Source organism: Homo sapiens, chromosome 3, assembly GCF_000001405.40.
Source record: "Homo sapiens chromosome 3, GRCh38.p14 Primary Assembly".
Lineage (NCBI taxonomy): Eukaryota > Metazoa > Chordata > Mammalia > Primates > Hominidae > Homo > Homo sapiens.
Window position 1 is genome coordinate 73,094,794 of NC_000003.12, and position 24,871 is coordinate 73,119,664.

Sequence of the window (24,871 nt, forward strand, 5' to 3'; positions counted from 1 at the left end):
ACCCTCTACAGTAGAGCACACCCTCGGAAAAGCCACGCTGCACTCACTATCTCAGGACCAGCTTGGGTGTCCCTGAAGGGCAGAACAAAACCTTTCCAAAGGCAAAGCCTCACTATCAAACAGAGAAGAGGCCAGTGAATGACAAGAGCTGATTGAAGAGTTTCGGTGGAAAACACCTCACTGGTTTAGACCAAGTCCCTTCAGGGGACTGGACTGGGAGTAAGCAGAGGCCATGCTTCCTGCCTGGCTTGGCAGGAGTGAGGGGCTGCTGGACGCCCACGGGGTTGCTGGCTCTGGAGAGGGAACTGGTAGTGCTGGAGGGTGATCCAGGGGGAGCAGTCCCCACCTCCACCATTGCTCAACCACCCGCCTGCTTTCTGCTCAGCTTTCCCCAGAGGCCTGCTGGGGGCTTGCTGCGCAGCCGCAAACAAAAAGGCCTCTTTGTAGATCCTCCCCTAGGACGCTCCGGAGGAAACAGCTCCCCTCGAAGCGGTATTCAGCATTCACGGCTGTCACCCAGGAGTCCCTGCTGGGTGCTGGGCCCAGTGCCGGGAGCTACAAAGGTGAGGTGTGGACCGCAGGTACTATTTGTTTCCAGGAGGGGCTGAACGTTTCAGTCTTTGTCATGTTGAGTTGGATTTAATTGCACTGAACTGGATTATTGGAAGACCTACAGCGTGCCCGCCGCTATGCATGGGTCTGGCATTGAGCAAAAATGGTGTGCAAAACCACACTTATACTATATATAAGTTAGTTAGGATAAGTAGCTTATAAGTTGTCTATTAGTATATAAGTTACATATAGAATGGAAGTCGCCCATAGGGAGCTTACATTCTCCAGATGAAGGCAGTACACTGTCCATGTACTGTTTTTTTTTTGGACACAAAGTGTCACTCTGTCACCCAGGCCAGAGCCCGTGATCTTGGCTCATGGCAACCTCTGCCTCCTGGGTTCAACTGATTCTTGTGCCTCAGCCTCCCGGGTAGCTGGGATTACAGGCATGAGCCACCATGCCCAGCTAATTTTTTTTGTGTGTGTGTACTTTTTAGTAGAGATGGGGTTTTACCATGTTGGCCAGGCTGGTCTCAAACTCCCGGCCTCAAGTGATCCGCCCACCTCAGCCTCCCAAAGTGCTGGGATTACAGGTGTGAGCCACTGCACCCATCCCGTCCATATACTATGACGAGAGCATCAAAGCATAGGCGCCTGTGCCATTTAGCAGCTGTGCAAATTTGGTCAAATTACTCACTTCTCCAAACCTTGGTTTCCTGATCTCTAAAATGGGTAGAGCAATGGGCCTTCTGTTGAAATAATTAAATGCTACGAAGAATGACTAGCACCTGACAAAGCACCTGCTGCATAATAGGCCTCAATATATGTTAGTGTCAGTGGATCATGAGTTAAATAGGAATAATAAGAGTATATTTAGTGCAGCATAGATCTCGCACAACCCTAGACTTTGTAAAAGGCTTAAACTGGTGCCTGGGAGGTGAGCTTAGCTATTAGGGAAGTGGAGGCAGCAGTGATGTGGTGACTTAGTTCTATTTGAGCCCAGCTGAAACAGATGTCTTCTCAAGTTCTCTGTGTCCCAATCTGTGAAATGGGCATGATTGTAGTTTTGTCTCTTGGCCTGTAGTGAGGATGAAAATAGGCAACGTGTATGATTGGAACAGCTTGTCCTGCACCAAGGTCTGGTGACCTTTGTGACTCTGTCCTGGAAATTTGCTGTTGCCATTCATTTATGTTAAGCAGCTCAGCCTGATAAACCAACAAGCTCATGGCACACGTTGGAGCAGGGAAAACGTACTTTAAGGAAATCTTAGGGAGGCTGCCGGAGCTGGGGTCCCAGCCTGGCACTGACCTTCTAGGTCACTATGTGGGGGCCACTTGCACCCCTGGTTCTCTGTTTACCAGCTGCATAATGGGCCTCAAACTGGATCATTGGTTTACATCCAGGGTGGTCAATAGAGTCACGTGGGGAGCTTTTAATACGTGCCAGGCCCCAGCCTGCGGATTCTGAAGCTCTGGTTGGGGGTCCCAGGAATTTGTATTTCGAAAAAGGGTTCCCAGGATTCTGATGCCCACAACAGCCCAAGGTCTCTAGGGTCCTGTTAACTTTTCTATCCAGCAATTCAGGGAAGTCTTGAAAATGCTCCGTGCAGGGCCGGCCGGGGTGGCTCACGCCCGTAATCCCAGCACTTTGGGAGGCCAAGGTGTGTGGATCACAAGGTCAGGAGTTCAAGACCAGCCTGGCCAAGATGGTGAAACCTCGTCTCTACTAAAAACTACAAAAATTAGCCAGGTGCAGTGGCAGGTGCCTGTAATCCCAGCTACTCGGGAGGCTGAGGCAGGAGAATCGCTTGAACCCCGGCGGCAGAGATTGCGGTAAGCCAAGATCGCACCACTGCACTCCAGCCTGGGTGACAGAGTGAGACTCCATCTCAAAAAAAAAAAAAAAAAAAGAAAAGAAAATGCTCTGTGCTTGGACTCCAGTGACTTGGATCTCACGTGCTCACGTGGTTGGCGTATTCCTGTGCAGTAGGGAAGGGGAAGGGTAATTATTTCTGCTCTTCAGGTGGAGGAGAAGAGGAGAAAGGCGGGCTCATCTGGTCCTCCTGGGATACAAGTCCCACGACCTCTGGGCCGTCTCCAGGCTGAAAGTCTGAGAGAAGCTCTTTCAGCTGGGCAGGCAGCAGAGGGGAGCTTTGTGTCCTCCCAAGGTCCTGGAAAGTTGATTGATTCTTGCTTGTTAGTTCACCTTCTTTCTCTTAACTGCATTAGGCAGAAATAAAAACTAGCCTTATGCTTGGGAAACATAAAGTAAGAATGTCTCTTTCTGAGAACCCAAAAATACTAGTAGTAGATGAATAAGTTGTGGGAATTACTTTCTGAATATGAAACATTATGATTTTTGTTTTTGCATTTAGCCACTTTAAATTATTTTTAAAAATAAGTTTGAGTATAAATGAATTATATATATGTACACACACACACACACATAACATACACATATAGATTATCTGTCAATCAGTCATGTAATTTAGAGTCAGGGAGACCTAGGATTAAGTCTTCACTTTGCCACTAACTAGCTGAGTGCTCTTGGGCAAGTTACTTAACCTTTCTATGTCTTAGTTCTCATAAATTTAAAATTGAGACCAATAAAATCGATTTCAGAGGGGTGCTGGGGCAGACTGTATTTTCCAATGATGGCTGCAGTACTGTCTCCCCTCCCACATGTTCTTCATATAATGTGACCTTGACAGTCCTGCCATCAAGAGGTGGGGTTCATGTCCCCTCCCCTTGAATGTGGCCTTGGCTGTGGTATGGCAGAGTGATGCTGAGTGGCTTCTGAGGCTAGATCATTAAAAGGCCATGTGCTTTCTCCTGGGATGCTCACTCCTGGACCCCAGCTGCCATGTTGTGAGGAAGCCCAAGCCAACATGTGTCAAAAGACCTCAGGGAGTGACATCCCCACTGCAGTTCCCAGCTGACAGCCAGCATCAACATCACACCCGTGATGAAGACACCTGCAGGCGATCCTGGTCCCTAGCCCTCAGTTGCCCCAGCCTTGGCATTGCCAGGCTGAGGCCCCAGGTACTGTGGAACAGAGATGAGCTGTCCCTACTCTGCTGGACAAGAATTCCTGACCCATAGAATCTGTGAGCATGAGAAAATGGTGGGTTTTTTTGGCCAGGAAATTTGGGGTAATTTACTACATAGTGATAGTAACTGGAACGATTACTATGATAAGAGAGATAATGTATCTAATGTGCCTAATTGTCACACATTTGTCTACTATTAGTCACACAATGTCTACTATTATAGTGGGAGATTTTGCCGCAAACAAGTAGGCAAAAATGTAATAGGAATGTAGAAAGTTTCAATAACATCAGCAATAAGCTTGACTTACAGGGCATTTGTGGAATTCTGTACTCAACAGTTAGCAAAGACACATCCTTATTGATATTCAGGAAACAGTTGTAAAACTGGACCATTACCAAGCCATAAAACAAGACTCAATGAACCCCAAATTACTGATATCATAGTTCATTCTGTCACTCCACAAATTGTTCTTGAGGCTTGGTATGGTCCAGGCACCCAAGGAATAGCAATGAGCCAAAGAGATCAAGTTCTCTACCTCCTGTCATCTTCATTCTAGAGGGAGACAGAAGACAAGCATCAAAGTGGGTAAATACCTAATGTTAGGTGGCAATTACTATTACAGAGACAAAAACTAGAGCAGGGTAGAGAAAACAGGAAGTGCTGGGTCAGGCTGCAATTAGATATGAGGTGATTGGGAAGGCCTCTCAAAGGGTGACATGTGAGCAGAGATTGGAAGGAAGGGAAGGAGTGAGCCGCTCAGGCTTCTATTTTATTCCATGCAAATCCACCCTTGTTTTTCTCTTTATCTTCCATTCTGGTGGTGTTTTCCATTCTCTGAAGTTTGAAATATGTGTAGGTGAATCAGTAGTTCCCAAACCTGGCTGTGACTTAGACTTGCTTGGGGGTATTTGTTTTAAAAATACAGACACCTGGGCTCCACCGTCAGCTTTGGAGGGTGACCTCCTTGGAATCTACGTTTCAGCACGCTGGGTGGGCCTAATTCTGATGGGTAACCAAGTCCCAGAACTGTTGGTCCAATCTCCCTTTTCTGTTTTAATTTATTCCTTTGCTTGAAATGGAGTAAGTTACCCTAAGACCATAGGACAGCGGTTCTCAGCAGATGGTCCCTGGCCTAGGAGCATCAACGTCACCTGGGAAGCGACTGGAAAGAGCACACCTCAGATCCCACCACAGACCTATGCAATCAGAAACTAACAAGCCCTCCTGGTGATGCTGCTGCCTGCTGAAATTTAAGAACCACAGCGATGCACTGAGTATTTGGTTCTCTCTATTTAGTTCTTTAATTCAATTGGAGTTCCATTTGTGGTGTGCTCTAAGTCATTCACTTCTCCCAGTTGCTAGGAAACATTTACTGAATGTTTCTTCTCATTCCAGAGAGTTTGAAAGAATTTATTGAGCATGTATTGTAGGCTAGGCTGGCCTAGTTATAGGGGCTACAAAGACATGTCCATGCCTTACAAAGTTCAAAACCTAGGGCAAATAGGACTGATGTATGAGTGCTAAAATATGCCACGAGCCATGAGCTATGTTCCAGTGAAAGCTGACAACACAGCTCAAAGGGGAAATCAAGGTGGGAGGGAGGGAAAGGCTCCACGGAGGCACATCTGGGACCCACCTGGCAAGAGCTGGGTCCTCTTCTTACCAGACTCATGACACCCAGGTGTAGAAAGGACATCCCAGTCTCCCCTCCCTGTCAAACAACGTGGCTCCCTTGAAGTAGCAAGTGCTGACTATTTGGGGTGTGTCCTCTTGTTCATACAGATAACTTAGAAACCTTGCTGGCCACTTACAGGGTGTCTGACATGGAACTGTACAACTTTTCTGTGTGGTTTTTTCTCACTCAGTATACCTGGCCATCCCTCCAGGCCCGGCGTCGAGGCTTACACACCGTCTTTCCCATCCTGGGCCCATTCCGTGGTGTGGAATGCCGTCACCCTCTCAACTGTCCTCCCATGGACGGGCTTCAGCCTTGTGTCTGGGTTTTGGCCATTTATGGTGAACAAGGGGTAATCTCCATAGGGCAGGAGGGAGGGGGGTTGGAAAGAGCTGTTCAGAAGAGGACAAGAAGGAAAGTCGGGGACTTTTCAATTTAGCAGCAGAAAATCCACTTTTATCAAGAATGACGGGAAGACATTGTTTCTAGCAGGCAACGTCTACAACTAAACGTATGGTTGAAAGGAGTGAGCTTGATGGGGTCTTGCTAGTGATCTCATTTTGGGCCTCATTGGCCCACCCTCCCACCCCTGTATTCGAGTGACCGGGGACCCCCCTCTGCACCCCGGGGAAAGCGTCCGCCTGCTGCCCTCTGTCCCAGGCTTGGCGGCACCCCAGCCCCAGCTTTCTGCCTCAAGCCTCAACTTCCCTGAATTCTCAGCCCGGTGGATTTCCAGGGAAATCACCTCTGTGCAGTTTCATTAATTTGCGCCAAGGCCATCAAAGGGGGTTGTGTAAGAAATGTTGGCAGCCCATGGAGGCTCTGGGAGCTTCAGATCCGGCCTTCTTAGCAACAGGAAGCCCTTTCTTGCTCAGCATAAACAAGCCCAAACACTCCCCCACCGCCCATTCCCCTCAAGGTGCCAGTTTGCTTTGAAATCCACAGCAAAGGATTTCGAGGTGTGGCCTCATTTTGGCAAAAGCCTTAATTCTCATTATCTTAAGAGTCTGCACTCCCACCTCCCATGTATAACTTAATAAAAGTCACATGTGGCAGGGGATTATCTTTCATTCAGTGGAGTAAAAAAGGTCGTCGTGTGTCCCCATTGTCCCTGGTAAAGTAGCAGGCACTCAGGAGGGGGCTGATGTGGATACTGGAGTTGCAGTTTAGGCAATGTCCAGCAGAGGGAGCACGATGCTTTGAGAACAACCTGGCTCCTGGCTGTTCTGAAAGAGGAGTCTCTTTGCTACCAACCCCATGCATGTAGGAGTTGTCTTCTCTGCATGTGCAGCAGCTAATAAAAGAAATCCAAAGTTTTCTTGCTGGGAATTTGAGAATTCAAGGATAGATACATCCAACAATGGTTAAATTCTGTAAAAATTAATCCTGCTGGTCAGCTTGTGGGAGTGGCCCTAGTTGGCTGTAATCATTGGTATTTAAATCTGTAAGTGGACGGTGGAGAGAGGCTTGTTTCCTGCCTTAATGAGTAAGTCAGAACCTGCCTCGGAGGCCCTGTTAATTGTTAAAAACTGATCTTTGAGCAGGGTTGTAAAGAAGAAGAAGAACGGCTTTTTTTTTTTTTTTTTGAGATGGAGTCTCGCTCTGTCTCCCAGGCTGGAGTGCAAAGGAACCATCTTGGCTCACTGCAACCTCCGCCTCCTGGGTTCAAGTGATTCTTGTGTCTCAGCCTCCCAAGTAGCTGGGATTACAGGCACCCACCACCACACCTGTTGGATTTTTGGTCCCCAGAACCTGTTTGATAATTATCTTCAACTGTCTACAGCAGCCATAAAGAGACCTGTGGTGTACCTGTTCCGGGTAGAATTATGGATTTGGAAGCCTAGGGAAGAACTGAATGTGGCACTGGTTCATGAAAAGGCCAGATTTCCTCTGGAAAGACCTCTGTTCCCTGTTGTTCTGCACAAAACACTTCCTGCAGCTGGCACTGGGATTGGGGCATGACAGGCATCATCTTGCTTAATCTTCATGACCATCTAGTGAGGTGGGAGCTTTGATCATACTCATTTTAAAAATAAGGAGCTAGCTTAAAGTCGTTAAATATTTACCCAAGGTCATATAATGGCAGAGCTGGAATGTGAACCCAGGTCCATGTGACTCCATTCATTCATCCTTTCATTCATCAAACATATATTGTGGGCTCCTTGTCCCAGGTAGTGTGCTAGGCAATGGGGAATAAGAAATAAGAAAGACAAGATCCCAGTCCTCACAGAGTCTTCATCCTAGGAAGGGATGGTGGACTCAGAGCAGGTAAAGTAAAAACCAAGATGCTTTTGATGGGTGCTCTAAGGAGAATAAAGAGGGTGATTTGACAGACAGTGTGGGGGTGCTGCAGGGAAGAAGGACGGCTTTTTTTTTTTTTTTTTTTTGAGATAGAGTCTCGCTCTGTCTCCTAGGCTGGAGTGCAAAGGAGACATCTTGGCTCACTGCAACCTCCGCCTCCTGGGTTCAAGTGATTCTTGTGTCTCAGCCTCCCAAGTAACTGGGATTACAGGCACCCGCCACCACACCCGGTGAATTTTTGTATTTTTTAGTAGAGACGGGGTTTCACCATGTTGGCTAGGCTGGTCTCAAACTTGTGACCTCAGATGATCTGCCTGCCTCCGCTTCTCAAAGTGTTGGGATTACAGGCGTGAGCCACCATGCCTGGCCAGAAGGACTGCTTTAAATAGGATGTTTGGTGAAGGCGTCATGGAGATGGGACAGATGAATGAGACCTGAGGATGAGAAGTCTCCATCCATGGAAAGATGTGGAAATAGCAGTCCAGGTGGAGGGCCCAGCCCATGCAAAGGTCCCGAGGTGGGGCAGGCCGGGCAAGGCAGGATAAGAGATTGGAGGGCTGCTGAGGCTGGGGCATGGTGGATGAGGATGGGTGAGATGGGCTGGGCCTCATTGACTCTGTGCCCCTCTCCACTCTACCATGGGCTCCCCTGAAAAGTGTATGTGACAGAGTCCAGCTTCCTCGGACATATGTGCTGCTGTCACATGCAAGACGAGCCCATGGCTGGATTCCAGCTCATTTCACCTTTTTTTTTTTAAACATTTAATTCATCCTCGCTGGCCTCCCTCACTCCCAAAGGAAGACCCAGCTGCCAATTCCCTCTTTATTCTAATCTCTCTCCGGGTCCCTCCATCTGCTTTGGACCAGGGTAGAAACTGCCATCTTCACCCCTGCCAAATAAAGCCATACATCTTGTTTAGCCCCACTGGCACTCAGATGCTAAACCTTCAGATCAAGGGCAGGCCAGGCCTTGGGATGACCACATTGTTGAGGAAAAGGGAATTCAGCCACGCTGAGGTTGAAGAAAAACTGCAGTGGTGCATGTGTGAGGATGGCACTGTTGTGGTGTCCACAAAGGGAGGGAGAACAAGACAACCCCGATGTCCATAGATGGAGGCTGGAGAGCCAAAGTTTGATCCCTTAATGTCATGGAACAATAAGCAGCCATTAAAATAATGACACAGAGCCGCAAGCATTGACCTGAAGTGATGTCCACCATGTATGGCTAAGAGGAAAAAGCAGTCTGGAAAAAAGACTGTGTCGTGTGGGTCTGCATTCGAAAAGGCAATAGCTCTATGCTTGTGAATGCGAGTGCCTGGACCCAAGTTGCAAAGGACACACAGCAAGGCATGTGCAGTTATTATTCTGGGTGGTGGCATTTGGGTGATTCTAAGAGATTCATTCTCTTGCTTGTAACTCTTCAGTGGGGCCCATTGTTCTAAGGATGAAGCCTCGCGGACCACACAAGATATGCTGATGAGGCCTCATGTTGTCTGACCCATGCCTGCCTTGCCAACCTGAGTTGCTCCCTCTCTCTCTGGTCCGACAGGCCATCTCTCCTTTCCTCCAGCCTCGGTCCTGGTAGTCTGAGGACCTTTGCACAGGCTCTTTCCTCCACCGGGAAGCCTCTTCCCTGACAGCCCACTTTCCCTTTGCTGCCTCTCCTTCTGTTTTTTTTTTTTTTTTGAGACAGAGTCTTACTCTGTCACCCAGGCTAGAGTACAGTGGCACAATCTCGGCTCACTACAACCTCTGCCTCCCAGGTTCAAGTGATTCTTCTGCTTCAGCCTCCTGAGTAGCTGGGACTACGGGCATTTGCTACCACGCCCGGCTAATTTTTTGTATTTTTAGTAGAGACGGGGTTTCACCATGTTGGCCAGGCTGGTCTCGAACTCCTGACCTTGTGATCCGCCTGCCTCGGCCTCCCGTAGTGCTGGGATTACAGGCGTGAGCCACTGCACCTGGCTGCCTCTCCTTTTATCAGCTCAGTCTTCACTTCTTTAGAGAACCTGCCCTGACTCCCCAAGGCCAGACTCTCCCAGCCCCAAATGTCTCTCCTGGAGGTCCCCGACCCCATTGAGATGAAATGCCCAGTCCTTCTCCCCTGCCCAGTTCTCAGTTCCAAGAAGGCAGGGACGATGCCAGTCTCCCTCCTCTGTTTCTGCTGTGTGTGCCACCAAACAGCAGCACAGAGCTTTACTGAGTGAATGACATGAATACCTTTCTAGATGGCCTGCATTGTGTGTGTGTGTGTGTGTGTGTGTGTGTGTGTGTGTGTGTGTGTGTGAGATGGAGTCTCACTCTGCTGCCCAGGCTGGAGTGCAGTGGGGCGATCTTGGCTCACTGCAGCCTCCACCTCCCGAGCTCAAGCAAATCCTCCCACTTCAGCCTCCCAAGTAGCTGGGATTACAGGTGCCTGCCACCATGCCCGGCTAATTTTTGTAATTGTAGTAGAGATGGGGTTTCACCATGTTGGCCAGGCTGGTCCTGAACTCCTGACCTCAAGTGATCCACCTGCCAAAGTGCTGGGATTACAGGTGTGAGCCACTGCACCTGGCCTGGCCTGCATTTTTATAACTAGCATTTATCCCTCCTTTGAGGGAAAAAACCAAAAATATTTTTTCTGGCAATGCATGATCATTGCAAGAATGTAAAATAATCCAGAGGATGTTAAATTATCCCTATTATATCTTTTTTTTTTTTTTTTTTTTTTTGGGAATCAGGACACTAAAGCAGAAAAAGGAAAGAAGTGAAGGCAAGACATTTCCATATCTTCTTTTTTCTTGAAAGCTGCGGTGTGGTGGAATGTGGCTCTGGAGTCAAACTATCTAAAGTCAATCAATCCTGGTCCAGCACTGCTCTCCACCAGCTGTGTGATTTTGGGCAAAAGGCTTTAACTCTCTGAGTCTCAATTCATATCTATTAGGTGGAGACACTCATGCCTGCCTAGGGTTATTGTGAAGACTCAGTAAGATAATACACATAAAATGCTTAACAAAAGACCAGTGCATAATAAGCATTTAATAATGAATATTTGCACAACCATCCGCCTATCTCTGTCTGGCTAATACAGAACCCAGAGTCAATCATTTTGACAGTTCCATGTAAGCAGGGACATCATCTGTTTTGCTCCCTACCATAATGCCAGTCGTAGGATGGTGCCTAGCACATAATAAAAGTTCAATAAGTATGTTTTGAATACATTTGAAGACACTGATGAATTTCTTAAGATCCTAGACAGCATTACTCATTTTTCTTTTCTTTTTCTTTTTTCTTGAGACGGAGTCTCGCTCTGTTGCCCAGGCTGGAGTGCAGTGGCACAATCTCGGCTCACTGCAAGCTCCGCCTCCCGGATTCATGTGATTCTCCTGCCTCAGCCTCCCGAGTAGCTGGGACTACAGGTGCCTGCCATCACGCCTGGCTAATTACTCATTTTTCTGAGATGGCAGAATTGGAAAAAAATCACGAACACATCTTTTCTCCTGTTTATTTTATTTTATTATTTATTTATTTATTTGAGATTTGAGATTTATTTATCTTGCTCTGCCACCGAGGCTGGAGTGCAGTGGTGCAATCTTGGCTCACTGCAACCTTCACCTCCTGGGTTCAAGTGATGTTTCTGCTTCAGCCTCCCGAGTAGCTGGGATTACAGGCCCTTGCCACTATGCCCAGCTAATTTTTTTTTGTATTTTTAGTAGAGATGGGGTTTCACCATGTTGGCCAGGCTGGTGTTGAACTCCCGACCTCAGGTGATCCGCCTGCCTTGGCTTCCCAAAGTGCTGGGATTACAGGTGTGAGCCACCATGGCTGGCCTATTTTATTTTATTTTATTTTTGGAGACAGAGTCTTGCTCTGTGACCCAGGCTGGAGTGCAGTAGTGCAATCTCGGCTCACTGCAACCTCTGCCTCCCGGGTTCAAGCAATTCTCCTGCCTCAGCTTCCCCAATAGCTGAGATTACAGGCGCACACCACCATGCCCAGCTAATTTTTGTATTTTTAGTAGAGATGGGGTTTTGCCATGTTGACCAGGCTGGTCTTGAACTCCAGTGATCTGCCCGCCTCGGCCTCCCAAAGTGCTGGGATTACAGGCGTGAGCCACCACGCTCAGCCCCTATCTGTTGTTTCTATCTACATATCTGGAGACCATCCAAAGGGAATCTATATCCAGGGGAAATCTTCTAGGGAAAAAAGGAAGAGCAGGCATATAGGTAGAGGGCTCCCACCAGAATGATGAATCCACACTTGCTGCTCAGTCCGTATCCAGTTAGGCTTTAAAAGGGACAGTTGGTTCTAAACTTTTTCCTTTTTATCAGGAACAGCCCATTGTCCTTTTCTTTGTGTTTCAGACAGAGGTAAGGTCGTATCTCTTACATTTCCAAAAATGTGCTCAGTGGACGAGGGTTGGCAAGATGTTGTAATCAACCGATTAATTTTTTTTTTTTTTTTGAGGCAAAGTCTCACTTTGTCGCCCAAGCTGGAGTGCAGTGGTGCAATCTTGGCTCACTGCAACCTCCACCTCCCAGGTTCAAGCGGTTCTCCTGCCTCAGCCTCCGGAGTAGCTGGGTCTACAGGCATGCACCACCATGCCCGGCTAATGTTCGTAGTTTTAGTAGAGATGGGGTTTCACTATGTTGGCCAGGCTGGTCTCGAACTCCTGACTTCACGATCCACCTGCCTCGGCCTCCCAAAGTGCTGGGATTACAGGTATGAGCCACCACGCCCCACCCCGATTAAGTTGTTTTTAAAAATGTAACACACATCTAACATGGACTGAATATGTGCTAAGTGGTGTAAGGCCTTGTATTTGCTGTATCTGCGTTAACTCAGCTGGTCCTCATAAGGTCCCCCTGAACTTGTTCAGTTTTCATATTCATCTATCAATGAAGAAACTGAAGTACAGAGAGGGTGACTAACTTCCCTGCGGTCACACAGCCAGTGGCTGAGTCAGGATATGAACCCAGATGCTGGTTCCAGAGCTCGCATTTAACTGCTGGGCTCTGCTGCCTCTTAAATAAGTTTGGAGTTTGTGACAGCCTGAGTTGGACACACTTAAGCAGGGTTTTGTGCTGCAGGATCTCTCAGAGCCTTTAATATGCAAATGTGCACTGTGACTCTCCAAAAGGTGGGTCAAGGAAACACCGTTTCTCAACTTCAGTTGTCCACCATGCCCTTTTCCCAGACATTCCTAGTAACATCTTCAGGAACTAATGCTCCATGGAACACTGAAAAGGGAATCCCATGTGCTAGGTTGGGGTATTTTGGCTGTTTCATTGGAATTTGTTTTTAAAATGAACCACTACTTTTCAAGAGTTTTGTCCCTGGAATTGAACTAAAGCTCTAAACCCAGTATAAAAAGGAACATAATTTCAATTCTCTATCTAACTGCTTTTGTTAGTAAATTCACTGGGTACTGAAAAAGGGACAGATTTGGAAGGCAGCGGAGCCTGGGGATATTTAGGAGATTTATTTTTGGCACGGCCCCTGAATCTCCTCCTGTTTTATGGTGGGGAAACATTTGCCGGTTTGGGCTCAGCTGGTCTGGTGAACAGGCGCCCCGCCCCACCCAAGCCTCCTGACAGTCAGGTGAAGATGGATGCATCAGGCCTGCCAAGGCCTCTCCCCTGCCAAGGTGGTGCAGCCCAGCTCTCTGTACTGTGCTTTGGGGGGTGTCCACACACCTTGAAAGAAAGGGCATCCTGATCCCAGCTTGGCTGCTAAACTTGTGTGTGTGTGATGAGTTCAACACACTCAAACTCACACCCACATGAGCCCTTGAAGTCCTAATATCAAGGAACCCACAAATAGTTTATTTTCACGTGAAATGTATGGGTTGAGATTGGCTGAGTGTGACGGAGAATAAGACTCATGTTGATTTCTGGGCAGTCCTCCTCACACTTCAGCTCATCTGAGTCGCCTGGAGGGTCTGTGAAAACACTGATGGCTGAGCCCCACCTCCAGAGCTTCTGATTCTGTAGATCTGAGGTGAGGCCTAAGAATGAGAATTTCTAGCAGCTTCCCAGGTGATGCTGCACTGCTTTCTGGGATTGCACTTTGAGGATCACTGACATCAGAGTTTCTTGGTTGGAGTCACCTAGCTTAAACTCCCAGCTCTGCCATAAAAATATTATTGAGCAGGAAGTTCACATATCGTAAAATTAACCATTTTAAAGTGAACAATTCAGTGGCGTTTAGTGTACTCACAATGGTTTGTAAGCACCACCTCTACTCAGTTCCAAAACATTTCCGTCACCCCAAAGTGAACTCATTCATCAAGCAAGTTCTCCCCATTCCCTCCCTCCCCCAGTCCCTGGCAACTATTTCAGTTTTGTCTCCATCGATTCATCTGTCTGGATACTTCATATAAATGTAACTGTACAACATGTGGCCTCTTGTGTTTGGGTTTTTCACTTAGCATGATGTTCTTGAGGTTCATCCATTTTGTAGCATGTATGAGTACTTCATTCCTTTAAGACTTTAATAATATTCCTGTGTGCGTGTGCGTGTGTGTGTGTGTGTATAAACAATTTGTTTATCCTATCCATTCATCTGTTGATGTCTGCCATTTTTTAGCTGTGTGTAGTTGAACAAATTACTTAACCTCTCTGAACCTCAACTTTTTTTTTTTTTAAAAGACAGAGTCTTGTTCTGTTACCCAGGCTGAAGTGCAGTAACGTGATCATGGCTCACTACAACCTCTGCTTTCCAGATTCAAGTGATCTTCCTACTTCAGCCTCCCAATTAGCTGGGACCACATGCATATACCACCACTTCTGGCTAGTTTTTATACTTTTTTGTAGTGATTTTTTTTTATGCCTTGTTGCCCAGGCTGGTCTCAAACTCCTCATCTCAACTGATCCATCTGCCTCATCCTCCCAAAGTGCTGGGATTACAGGCATGAGCCACTGCACTCAGCCAACCTCAACTTTTTGCCTGACCATAATAACATAGCTACTCCTTTGTGGAATTGTTGTAAATGTGAGTGAGATAATGCATGTGAGCCGCCTGGCACAACACCAGGCCCATATTTAAAGCCTCAATCAATGGAAGTGACTACTGTTAATATGCTTTGTCTTAAATTAGTATTTCTCTTAAATAGATCCTGTGATGCAGATTTGCCTCTACATAGTTTATTTGGGAGGTAATCCCAAAAAACCTTTTTTTTTTTGAGACAGAGTGTCATGCCCTGTCATGCAGGCTGGAGTGCAGAGGCACGATCTTAGCTCGCCGCAGCCTCCACCTTCCGGTATCAAGCGATTCTCCTGCCTCAGTCTCCCGAGTAGCTGGGATTACAGGTGCCCTCCATGACACCAGATTAATTTTTGTATTTTTAGTAGAAATGGGGTTTCGCCATGTTGGCCAGGATGGTCTTGAACTCCTGATCCCAAGTGATCTGCCCTCCTCAGCCTCCCAAAGTGTTGGGATTACAGGCGTCAGCTACCGCGCCCGGCCCCAAGAAACATCTCTGGGGGAGTTAGGAACATCACAGGCGTGCACCACCGCGCCCGGCCCCAAGAAACATCTTTGCGGGAGTTAGGAACATTACAGGGGTGAGCCACCGCGCCGGGCCCCAAGAAACATCTTTGCGGGAGTTAGGAACATTACAGGCGTGAGCCACCGCGCCCAGCCCCAAGAAACATCTTTGCGGGAGTTAGGAACATTACAGGTGTGAGCCACCGCACCCAGCCGAGGGCATCTTAGTCTAAAGGGAGACATTCCAACATCAATGTTGCTCCGTGATTCCGCAAAAGACCCAAGCATTGTCTCTCTTTCCATTCTATTAGTCTTCAATGTTGGCTTGTAGCCTCATGATCACAAAATGGTTGCTGCACCTCTGGGTATAACATCTATATTCAAGGCAGGAAAAAGCTGAAGTACATCTGTCCACTATATCAGGAAAGCAATTTTTCTCAGACTGCCCCCTTCCCCATCAGATTTTTAGCTACTCTTTAGTCAGAAGTGGGTCATAGACATATCCAGCCACGAAGACAGCTTGGGAATTCATGCACTTAGCTTTCCAGCATCTGTAGCAGAAGCAGATCAGGAAGAAAAGGGTGGGAAAAAGGTGTGGAGTTACCCAGTCAACAGTGTCTGCCAAAGAAGAGTGAACCTAAAAGCACTTCAAAGCCATTTAACAGCAAATTTTGTTAGCAAATTTTCTTTCCAAAGCACTTATCTTAGTTTTCTTAAAAATGACCATGTTTGCGTGGACCGCTCTCCGCCAACAGGTGTCTTCCACAGACCCCTCTCGCTTTAGCCCTCAGTCTCTTTCAATTCTGTCTTTTCTCTCGGTCCATAAAAACAAGGAAGTCGACCCCAGTGGAGCCTAGTCTCCCCACGAGGAGGCGGCCCCGGGGGTGGAGTCAACCCTGGAGGCCACGCTCTGTGGGAAAGCACGGGGCATGCAAACTCGAAATGAAAGCCCGGGAACGCCGGAACAAGCACAGGTGTAAGATTTCCCTTTTAAAACGTGGAGAATAAGAAATCAGCCCGAGTGTGTAATGGCGTCAATAGTGGTGTGGACGAGACAAAGGCAATGAGGCAAGGAGCGAGGCTGGGGCTCTCACCGCGACTTTAATATGGATGAGAGTGGGACGGTGACGGCGGGGGCGAAAGCAACGGTAACGCTTCTTGACCTTTGGGCTAAGATCAAGTCTAGTAACTGTTCTTATCAGTTTAATATCTGATATGTTCTCTATCCGAGGACAATATATTAAATGGGTTTTTGGAGCAGGGAGATGGAATAGGAGCTTGCTCTCTCCACTCCACACATCGACCTGGTATTGCAGTAGCTCCACGAACTGTGCACCCCTTTAGAAGGGAAGAACACTGCAGAGTAGCTTGCACACCTAGTATCTGTGATATGCTGGTTTTCCTATTCCTTGAACTACCTTGAAGTTCCTGGTCTGCGGACATAAGGTGGACTTTTCGGCACTCCCATTTTCGCTGTGTCTACAGCACTTTGGGAAGACTAGAACCCAAAACGAGACTACCCGTTTCTGTATCTGCATGCAGAGAGAGCGTGTTCAATGTTTCTTGGAGGTCCTTAGATCTCAGCTTGGCAGTCGAGTGGTGGTGACCTTTTAAAGGAACGGGGTCCACCAGTGTGGCCCAGCCTGGACTTGAACTTCTTCCTCTTTTTTTTTTTTTTCAAGTTCTAGATACATGTGCAGAACGTGCAGGTTTGTTACATAGGTATGCATGTGTCTTGGTGGTTTGCTGCATCTACCAACCAGTCATCTAGGTTTTAAGCCCATATGCATTAGGTATTTGTTCTGATGCTCTCTCTCCCCTTGCCCCCCAACCCCGCCGTCAGGCCCCGGTGTGTGATGTTCCCCTTCCTGTGTGCATGTGTTCTCATTATTCACCTCCCACTTATGAGTGAGAACATGCGGTGTTTGGTTTTCTGTTCCTGTGTTGGTTTGCTGAGAATGATGGCTTCCAGTTTCATCCATGTTCCTGCAAACGACATGAACTCATTCTTTTTTATGGCTGCGTAGTAATTCCACGGTGTATATGTGCCACATTTTCTTTATCCAGCCTATCACTGATGGACATTCGAGTTGGTTCCAAGTCTTTGTTATTGTAAATAGTGCTACAATAAACATACATGTCCATGTGTCAAAAAAAAAAGACCATGTTTGCACTTGTGTCTAATCAGATGACATAATGTTCAATTTAATTCATTTATTATTCAATGCACTTAATTTAGTTGATTTATTGTAAATTATATCACAGCTGACATAAGCAGGTTTAGGCACAAACGCAGGACACTCAAGGGGAGCACCGAGTCAGCAGCAGGGAGGTGTAGGGGGTGCCTGTGCCCTGGGTGAGCGAGGGGCCTCAGGTAGGGGTTTCGCTGAGGGACTGTACATCAGCAGCTAATCGGGAAGTAAGCTAGACGGGGGTCAACTGAGAGAGCTTCTACCCATCAAAGCACTGTGCTAGGCTCTGTGAGAAATACAGATAAGAAGTGAGATTTACGCTGTCCTAACAGCACTACCTGCTGATCAGGGATATGAGTAAAGGAGGGAGTAAGCTTAGATGGGCCTCAATGATTCAAGAAGGTGGGGAGAGAGGAGTGCTGAGTGCTGGACAGAACAGACTGTCCAGGTAAAAAGACTACAGTGGACACTGCCCAGACCCAGCCCACATCCTCTCTGCCTTGCACTGCAGTGCACACAGGCCTGATTCCAACGGCCAACACTGGCATCCTTTTACCTGAGGATTTTCTGACTCAGGTAAACAAACACACCTTACTCTGACCCAAAGTGCTGGAGAATTAGCACCCCCCCTCCCACCCCCAGATCTGCCTCCCAGATGACTGGCAGGAGCCACTGTATAAGTCCCCCAGCCCTTTGCCCTTGGCGTGATGGCTCTGGGGTGTGCTCTGCACTGCTTCCCAGAGCTGCCCAGCAGTGTTAAGCTCCGGGTGCCTACAGTGGTAGCTGGCCTGATAACGCCATCTGGACGGGTTCCTTCCTTCCCCATCTCACTTCCTAACTCCCCTAAAAATGTTTCTTGGGGCCAGGTTCACGCCTGTAATCCCAACACTTTGGGAGGCTGAGGAGGGCAGATCACTTGGGTCAGGAGTTCAAGACCATCCTGGCCAACATGGTGAAACCCTGTCTCTACTAAAAATACAAAAAAAAAAAATTAGTTGGGTGTGGTGGTGCATGCCTGTAATCCCAGCTACTCAGGAGGCTGAGGCAGGAGAATCACTGGAACCCAGGAGGCAGAGGTTGCAGTGAGCCAAGATCACGCCACTGCCCTCCAGCCTGGGCGACAGAGCAAGACTCTGTCTAAAAAAAAAAAAAAAAAAAAAAAAGAGAGAGAGAGGAGAGTATTTGATATATAAGATTATTAAATATCTGCATTGCTTAAGCCATTCTTAATTGCAACCCAAAGCATTCTTAATTGATAAAGCTTCTTCAAAGAACTTGAATCCAGAATTCAGAGATGGTACATTATGGCTGTGGTTCATGCAAGGAAGATGTGCAACTCCAATTAGGGAACCCATCCTTAAAGGTATTCATCGTTCATCAAAATATTGGCTAGTGATGATAATCTATATGTTTGAAGTTAAAACAAAATGTTATGTATGTAGCCCCAGATGAGATGAGAATAGCATCAGTCAAACCCACAATGGGAGATATTCTACAGGATACCTGGCCAGCACTCATTAAGACTGTCAGGGTCATAAAAAAATGAAGAAACCCTGAGAAAATCTCACAGTACATGGGAGACTGTGGGGACATGATGACTCAATGCAATGTGGTAGCTTAGATTGGGTCCTGGAACAAACAAAAGGATATGAATGAAAAAATTGGTGAAATGTACCAATGTCAGTTTAGTTTTGACAAATCATGATAAGATGTTAATAACAGGGGAAACTGGCCTGGGGCAGTGGCTCACACTTGCAATCCTGGCATTTTGGGAGGCCGAGGCGGGTGGATCACTTAAGCTCAAGAGTTAGAGACCAACTTGGGCAACATGGCAAAATCTCATCTCTATAAAAAGATCCAAAAAAATTAGCTGGGGATGGTGGTGTGCACCTGTAGTCCCAGTTACTCAGGAGGCTGAGGTGGGAGGATCACTTGAGCCTAGGAGGTTGAGGTTGCAGTGAGCTATGATTGCACCACTGTACTCCAGCCTGGGTGACAGAGTGAGATCCTGTCTCAAATTAAAAAAAAAAAAAAAAAAAAAAAAGGGGAAACCAAGTGAGGGGTATAAGGAGACCCTCTGTGCTATCACTGAAACTTTTCTGTAAATCTAAAATCACTCTACAATAAAATGTTTATTTTCAAAAATATTGTGTATATATTTTTTTGTTTTTGTATCTCATCTGGACAGATTCTTGATTAATTCACCATTTCCCAGCCATTGGAATAAGAAGTGCCTCTGTAGCATTTGCTGGTGCTCACTCAGACATCTGCCTTTATTTTTGTGGACAAAGAAAAATTTACAGGTAACTTTCTCTCCCTTTCTAGTTTACAGCTCACAGCCAGCCTATCATAAAGCTGCTCGTAGTTTCAAAAAATTATTTCATTCATATATTTAAAATTTTCATTTATATTCTTTATTTACATCTTTTAAATGGAAATAATTTAATTTTTACTATTTAATTTATAACAATTACTTTTACTAACTTAACATTTAATTTTAAAATGTTATTTTATTGTATCAGGCTGGGAGAGAAGCTAAACAAATATGGTGGCCAGAGTTGAATTGTGCTATCTTTGCCTGTTGGTGGCCAGTGCCTTGGGGTTAATCCTTTCCTCTTGAGGTCCATGTCCGCTTGGGGAGATTGATCCACAACTTCATTCACATTGACTGGGGTGGGAAAATGACCCAGGCCAGTCACACACACAGCAGTCTGCTTGGGATAAGAGTCAGACTCAGGACTTTGCTGGAGTTCCCGGGAATGATGCCCTCTTTTTTGGCTGGGGATGCTAAGCTGCAAGATGTGCTCCTGGAGCTGGTGACATCTGTGCCATCATCAGAGCAGACGCCTGCCTGGCAAGGAACCCAGAGGAAAGTGGAACCCAGGCTTAGAGATGAGCCTTCCTGACATTGTTTGAGCATCTGGGATCCAGCTACGTTCAGATGGCTGGGCTTTTCCATGTACTGAGCCAATGAATTTCCTTTCTCTCTTTTTAAAGCCACATTGAGTTGGATTTCCATTTCTGTCACTTGCAACCCTAGCAGTTTTGTTGGAACAGTGGCCCTCACTGCTGTTTGATTATGGTGTGTCCTTCTTGGCCCTCCCATCATCCTGCGTGTGAAACCACACACTGCCAAGTATTGCTCAATATTCCTGATTGTGTTGGGTGGGCATCCTTGCTCTGCCCTCTCTAGCTGACAGCAAGTTAGAACCAAGGCAAATTCCTTAATTGCTCAGAGCTGTAGTTTCCTTGATTGTAAAATTGCGGGTTTGGGTGGGGGTGGGGAAGACACCCTCTATCAAGGGGCTGTTGGGAGAATGAAACGAAGTAATGTATGCGTGGCATTAACACAGTTTCATATTAAACATTTGCATTTGAGTCATTTTTATCACTGTTACTATAAATAAAAGGCAGGTTATCACAGGCAGCAATCCTACCTTTCTTCTCTTTGTATCTTCCACAATGCCTGGCTTATAGCTGGAGGTTGGAAAAAATTTTAAAGTGTTAAGGGCTTTTGTGCCAGTTTCTAGGAATAAAAAGATAAGTGAGACACAGTCTGTCCGTTCCAGTTCCTCAAGGCTGGGGGGAGCCATGGCCTGATTGAAGACCAATCAAGAATAAAGATATGGCGGGGTGAGGTGGCTCATACCTGTAATCCCAGTACTTTGGAAGGCTGAGGAGGGAGGATCACTTGAGTCCAGGCGTTCAAGACTAGCCTGGGCAACATAGTGAGACCCCGTGTCTATAAAAACTAAAAAAATTAGCTAGGTGTGGTAGGACACCCCTGTAGTCCTAGCTACTCAGGAGGCTGAGGCAGAAGAATCATTTGAGCCCAGGAGGTCGAGCTTGCAGTGAGCCATGATTGCATCACTGCACTCCAGCCTGGGTGACAAAGTGAGACTCTGTCTCTAAAAATAAGAAATTAAAAAAAGAATAAAAATAGAACATAACACATGGCAGTTCACTAAGGCAGCACACATTGAGCTGCTCCTGCCTGCCAGGCACCATGCTAAGAGAGCTACAGTGAATAAAGACAGGAGGCTCCTGCTCTCAGCCAGGGCCCATGAGAGAGGTGAGCAACTTGCCCATATAATTTTAGGAACAGGTAAAGAGGTATTGTATAAATGGAGTAAACCCTGTGTTTGAAGACCTCTTATCCAAAAAGCATCCGAATTTTATGAAATATTGGGTGGATGGTCCAAAGCAAAAAGCCTTCCCAAATAATAGAATGGGTCAAATGGCCTCTCTCACCTAGGTAGCCCCTACTTTTTTTTTTTTTTAACGAGACAGAGTCTTGCTCTGTCACTCAGGCTAGAGTGCAGTGGTGCGATCTCAGCTCACTTCAACCTCTGCCTCCTGGGTTGAAGCGATTCTTAGCCTCCGAGTCATGCCTGGCTAATTTTTGTATTTTTAGTAGGGTTGGGGTTTCACTGTGTTGTCCAGGCTGCTCTTGAACTCCTGACCTCAAGTGATCCACCCGCCTCGGCCTCCGAAAGTGCTAGGATTACAGGCATGAACCATTACACCCTACCGCCCCTACTTTTAAATTCAAACAAAAACAAAAGCAATAGTTTAAAAATAATGATTTTTTTGATGCATGATTGTGTGAAAAAATATTGATACAGGAACAAATAAGGTCTCTGTTGTTACTACTTCTAGAACTTGTCTAAAAAAAGTAGATTTTCTTTTGTGTTTATTCTTTATAAAAAAAATCACTTAAGAAGCTAAATGTAAGCCATTTCAGAATTGCAGATGTGCAAAATCTTTATGAGAAATATTTGACCTGATTTGTTTTACTAATTAACAAATAACCCTCCCCTGAATAGTATGTTTCACCCGACAGCACATTTTTAATCAAGGCATACATGGTAGCAAACCAAGGTTTCTAGGAAAACCATGAAAAGTCACCTCGACTGGAAGGATGGAGCGCGTCACAACAATAACACAGCGGGGACCTGGATGAGAGGAGCAGAGAGTTAATTTGTGGAGGGGAATGAATAGTCCACTTGATGGAAGAACAACTTTCTGCCCTGTCTGAAGATGTGACAGATGGCCATGAGGAGATTGCCCTGGGATGGCTCCCCGAGGGGCTCAAGGTGAGGCCTGATTGTCGTCCAAGGGCCGAAGGGATCCAGTGGCATGAGGAGTGATCAGAGGAGAAGTAATCTGGAGAGAAAAGATGTCAAAGAAGCCCGTTTCCATTGACCATGATGGTTGGGCCAAATAGTCTGAGTGTCTCTTTCAAGATACAACAGTTGGAAATATCAGGGGTGTAGGGAGAGAATTCGCTGTCATCCCGGCGGGGAGGCGGGAAATGGAAATACTGAAGCCATGTGAGCTCTGCTAGGCCACAGGGCTGCACCGGAACACTGAAAAGTGTGTCTTGACATACACAGGCGGAGCTCAGGAACCTCAGAGAGGTGGGAAAGAGAGGCTATAGGAGGAATCCAATTCCCCCAGGCACTTAGGGAGAGAGGCTGTGTCTGGATATAGGGCCTTTTATATTTCAGGACATTGCTGCATTTCATCTCCAACTTTAAAAAGTTAGCCTTTGATAGTTTTGGTTTATGCAGGTAGTTGAAAATAATCCTAGTGGTTACGATTCTACATTAAAGGAGGAGCTTAATGTAGTCCTTCTCTCTTCCTCCCTGTTTCCTTTCCCCTCCCCTCCCTCCTTCCCTCTCTTCTTTCCCCTCTTCCCTCCTTTCTTTCTGAGGGAGGCCTCAGGTGGAATTTTAAATCTAAATGACACCTCCATTTCTACGAAGTAGATTTTAAAAAATCTTAACCCATTTCTGTTAATAAACATTCAATCATTATAGAAATGTATAACCTTAAAAGTAAACGTCTCTCGTGATCTCACTTCCCATGGATTATGACTTTTTATGGTGGCATATAGTCTTTCACATATTGATTGATTGATTGATTGAGACAGGATCCCACTCTGTCACCCAGGCTGCAGTGGCGCAATCTTGGCTCACTGTAGCCTCTGCTTCTTGGGCTCAAGAATCTTCCAACCTCAGCCTCCTGAGTAGCTGGGACTACAGGTGTGCAACACCATGCCCAGCTATTTTTTAAAAAATTATTATAATGGCCAGGTGCAGTGGTTCATGACTGTAATCCCAGAACTTTGGGAGGCCGAGGCAGGCGGATCACGAGGTCAGGAGTTCGAGACCAGCCTGGCCAACAAGGTGAAACCCCATCTCTACTAAAAATACAAAAATTAGCCAGGCATGGTGGCAGTCACCTGTAATCCCAGTTACTCAGGAGGCTGAGGCAGGAGAATTGCTTGAACCTGAGGTGGAGGTTGCAGTGAGCCAAGATTGCACCACTGCACTCCAGCCTGGGTGACAGAACGAGACTCTGTCTAAAAAAAAAAATTATTACCATTATTACTATTATCTTTTTGTAGAGACTGGGTTTCGCCATGTTACCCAAGCTGGTCTTGAGCTCCTGAGTTCAAACTCATCCGCTCGCCTTGGCCTCCCAACGTGCTGGGATTAGAGGTGTGAGCCACCATGCCTGGCCTTCAGATTTACTTGTAAGATATATGCTAATATATTATTGTCTTATCAGAAATGGGACTGTTCATACATCTTTGCTTTGCTCCCTGTTGGTGGATATTGGTATCTGTGACTGCCCATTATCTTTGAACACCCTTGTTATGTTTTGACAATTTTCCATAGGCCGATTTGCTTTGCTTGCTTAATGACCTATGGTGGAGACTTTTCCATACGAGGACTTGTAGATCCACTGCTTGCTTTGTTTGATGACTGTGGCTGTGTGTTATCCTATTATATGTCTGTATAACTGTTTTTTTCACCCATTTCTCACTAATGGACTGGAGTAGAATGTATAAATTTGGAAGCTTTCTCTCTCTCTCCATACACACACATCCTAAAAAAGTTGGAGTTTATAGCACTTCTTTATAGGGTTTAGGAAGCCATGTATATGTGTGTGTGTGCATCTGGGATCTGCACAGTTGTGCATTTTTCAATGGCAAAGGAATCTCTTTGTATATGCATTACTTATGTATGATTATATTTATTGCATGGGTTATGAGAAAGCTGTGCTGGTGAAGATGGTGAAGACCCTGCTCTTCCTGGAAAGTCTTGATAAATAAGAAAGAGGCTGCAGGCTGCAGATCCATGCTTTGAGCTATGCGGGAGCTAGATGTGCACAGAATAATGTAAGACCCCCACTTGCATAAGAGAAACAGAGTGGCCACAAGGCGCTAAGAATGAAGAGCAAAGTATAGTAACAGGGGATCTTAATAAATGATGTTTTAACCATGGCAGCATTTCAGGAACTCGGGGGTACAGAAAGAAGGATGCTAGGAAAGAAAGTAATGTTATTCCAAAGTATGTTGAAAGGAAAGTTGGATAGCAATAGAAAATAAAAACATCATCTAGAGGTCAAAATAATCAGGGTGATACTCTCTTGTCTAGTAATTTGGGGGTGAAATTAAATTATCTTTCCTTTGCTCATGACAGACATTGTCGATTTATCACAGCATCTTTTTTTTTTTTTTTTTAAATCTTTCAACCCAGAGGCAGCTTCACATGTCTTCTTTCTTTATTGTTTTAGGCCAATTTAAATTAGTCAGAGCTGACTAGCCAGGTAACTGTTTG

General features: G+C 46.2%; 1 long non-coding RNA gene and 1 pseudogene across 1 annotated transcript in view, besides 2 other annotated features; both read left to right on the forward strand.

Annotated features, from left to right (window-relative positions):
- Nucleotides 1-440: 440 nt before the first annotated feature.
- The window catches only part of LOC107986098 (uncharacterized), a 222,236-nt gene continuing 197,805 nt past the window's right edge, over nucleotides 441-24,871 (forward strand). Inside the window, exons 1-2 of the long non-coding RNA XR_001740754.1 lie at nucleotides 441-563; nucleotides 19,429-19,543. This is a non-coding gene — a long non-coding RNA (uncharacterized LOC107986098). The remainder of the gene's footprint in view (nucleotides 564-19,428; nucleotides 19,544-24,871) is intronic.
- Nucleotides 15,519-16,081: an enhancer, noted in NCBI's record as "NANOG-H3K27ac-H3K4me1 hESC enhancer chr3:73159463-73160025 (GRCh37/hg19 assembly coordinates)". NCBI's record gives its function as "activates a minimal SCP1, AML or CMV promoter by ChIP-STARR-seq in naive and primed H9 embryonic stem cells {active_cell/tissue: H9 hESC(naive and primed)}" and the evidence as "EXISTENCE:reporter gene assay evidence [ECO:0000049][PMID:30033119]".
- Nucleotides 16,082-16,643: an enhancer, noted in NCBI's record as "NANOG-H3K27ac-H3K4me1 hESC enhancer chr3:73160026-73160587 (GRCh37/hg19 assembly coordinates)". NCBI's record gives its function as "activates a minimal SCP1, AML or CMV promoter by ChIP-STARR-seq in naive and primed H9 embryonic stem cells {active_cell/tissue: H9 hESC(naive and primed)}" and the evidence as "EXISTENCE:reporter gene assay evidence [ECO:0000049][PMID:30033119]".
- On the forward strand, nucleotides 16,201-16,386 carry RNU2-64P (RNA, U2 small nuclear 64, pseudogene; annotated as a pseudogene).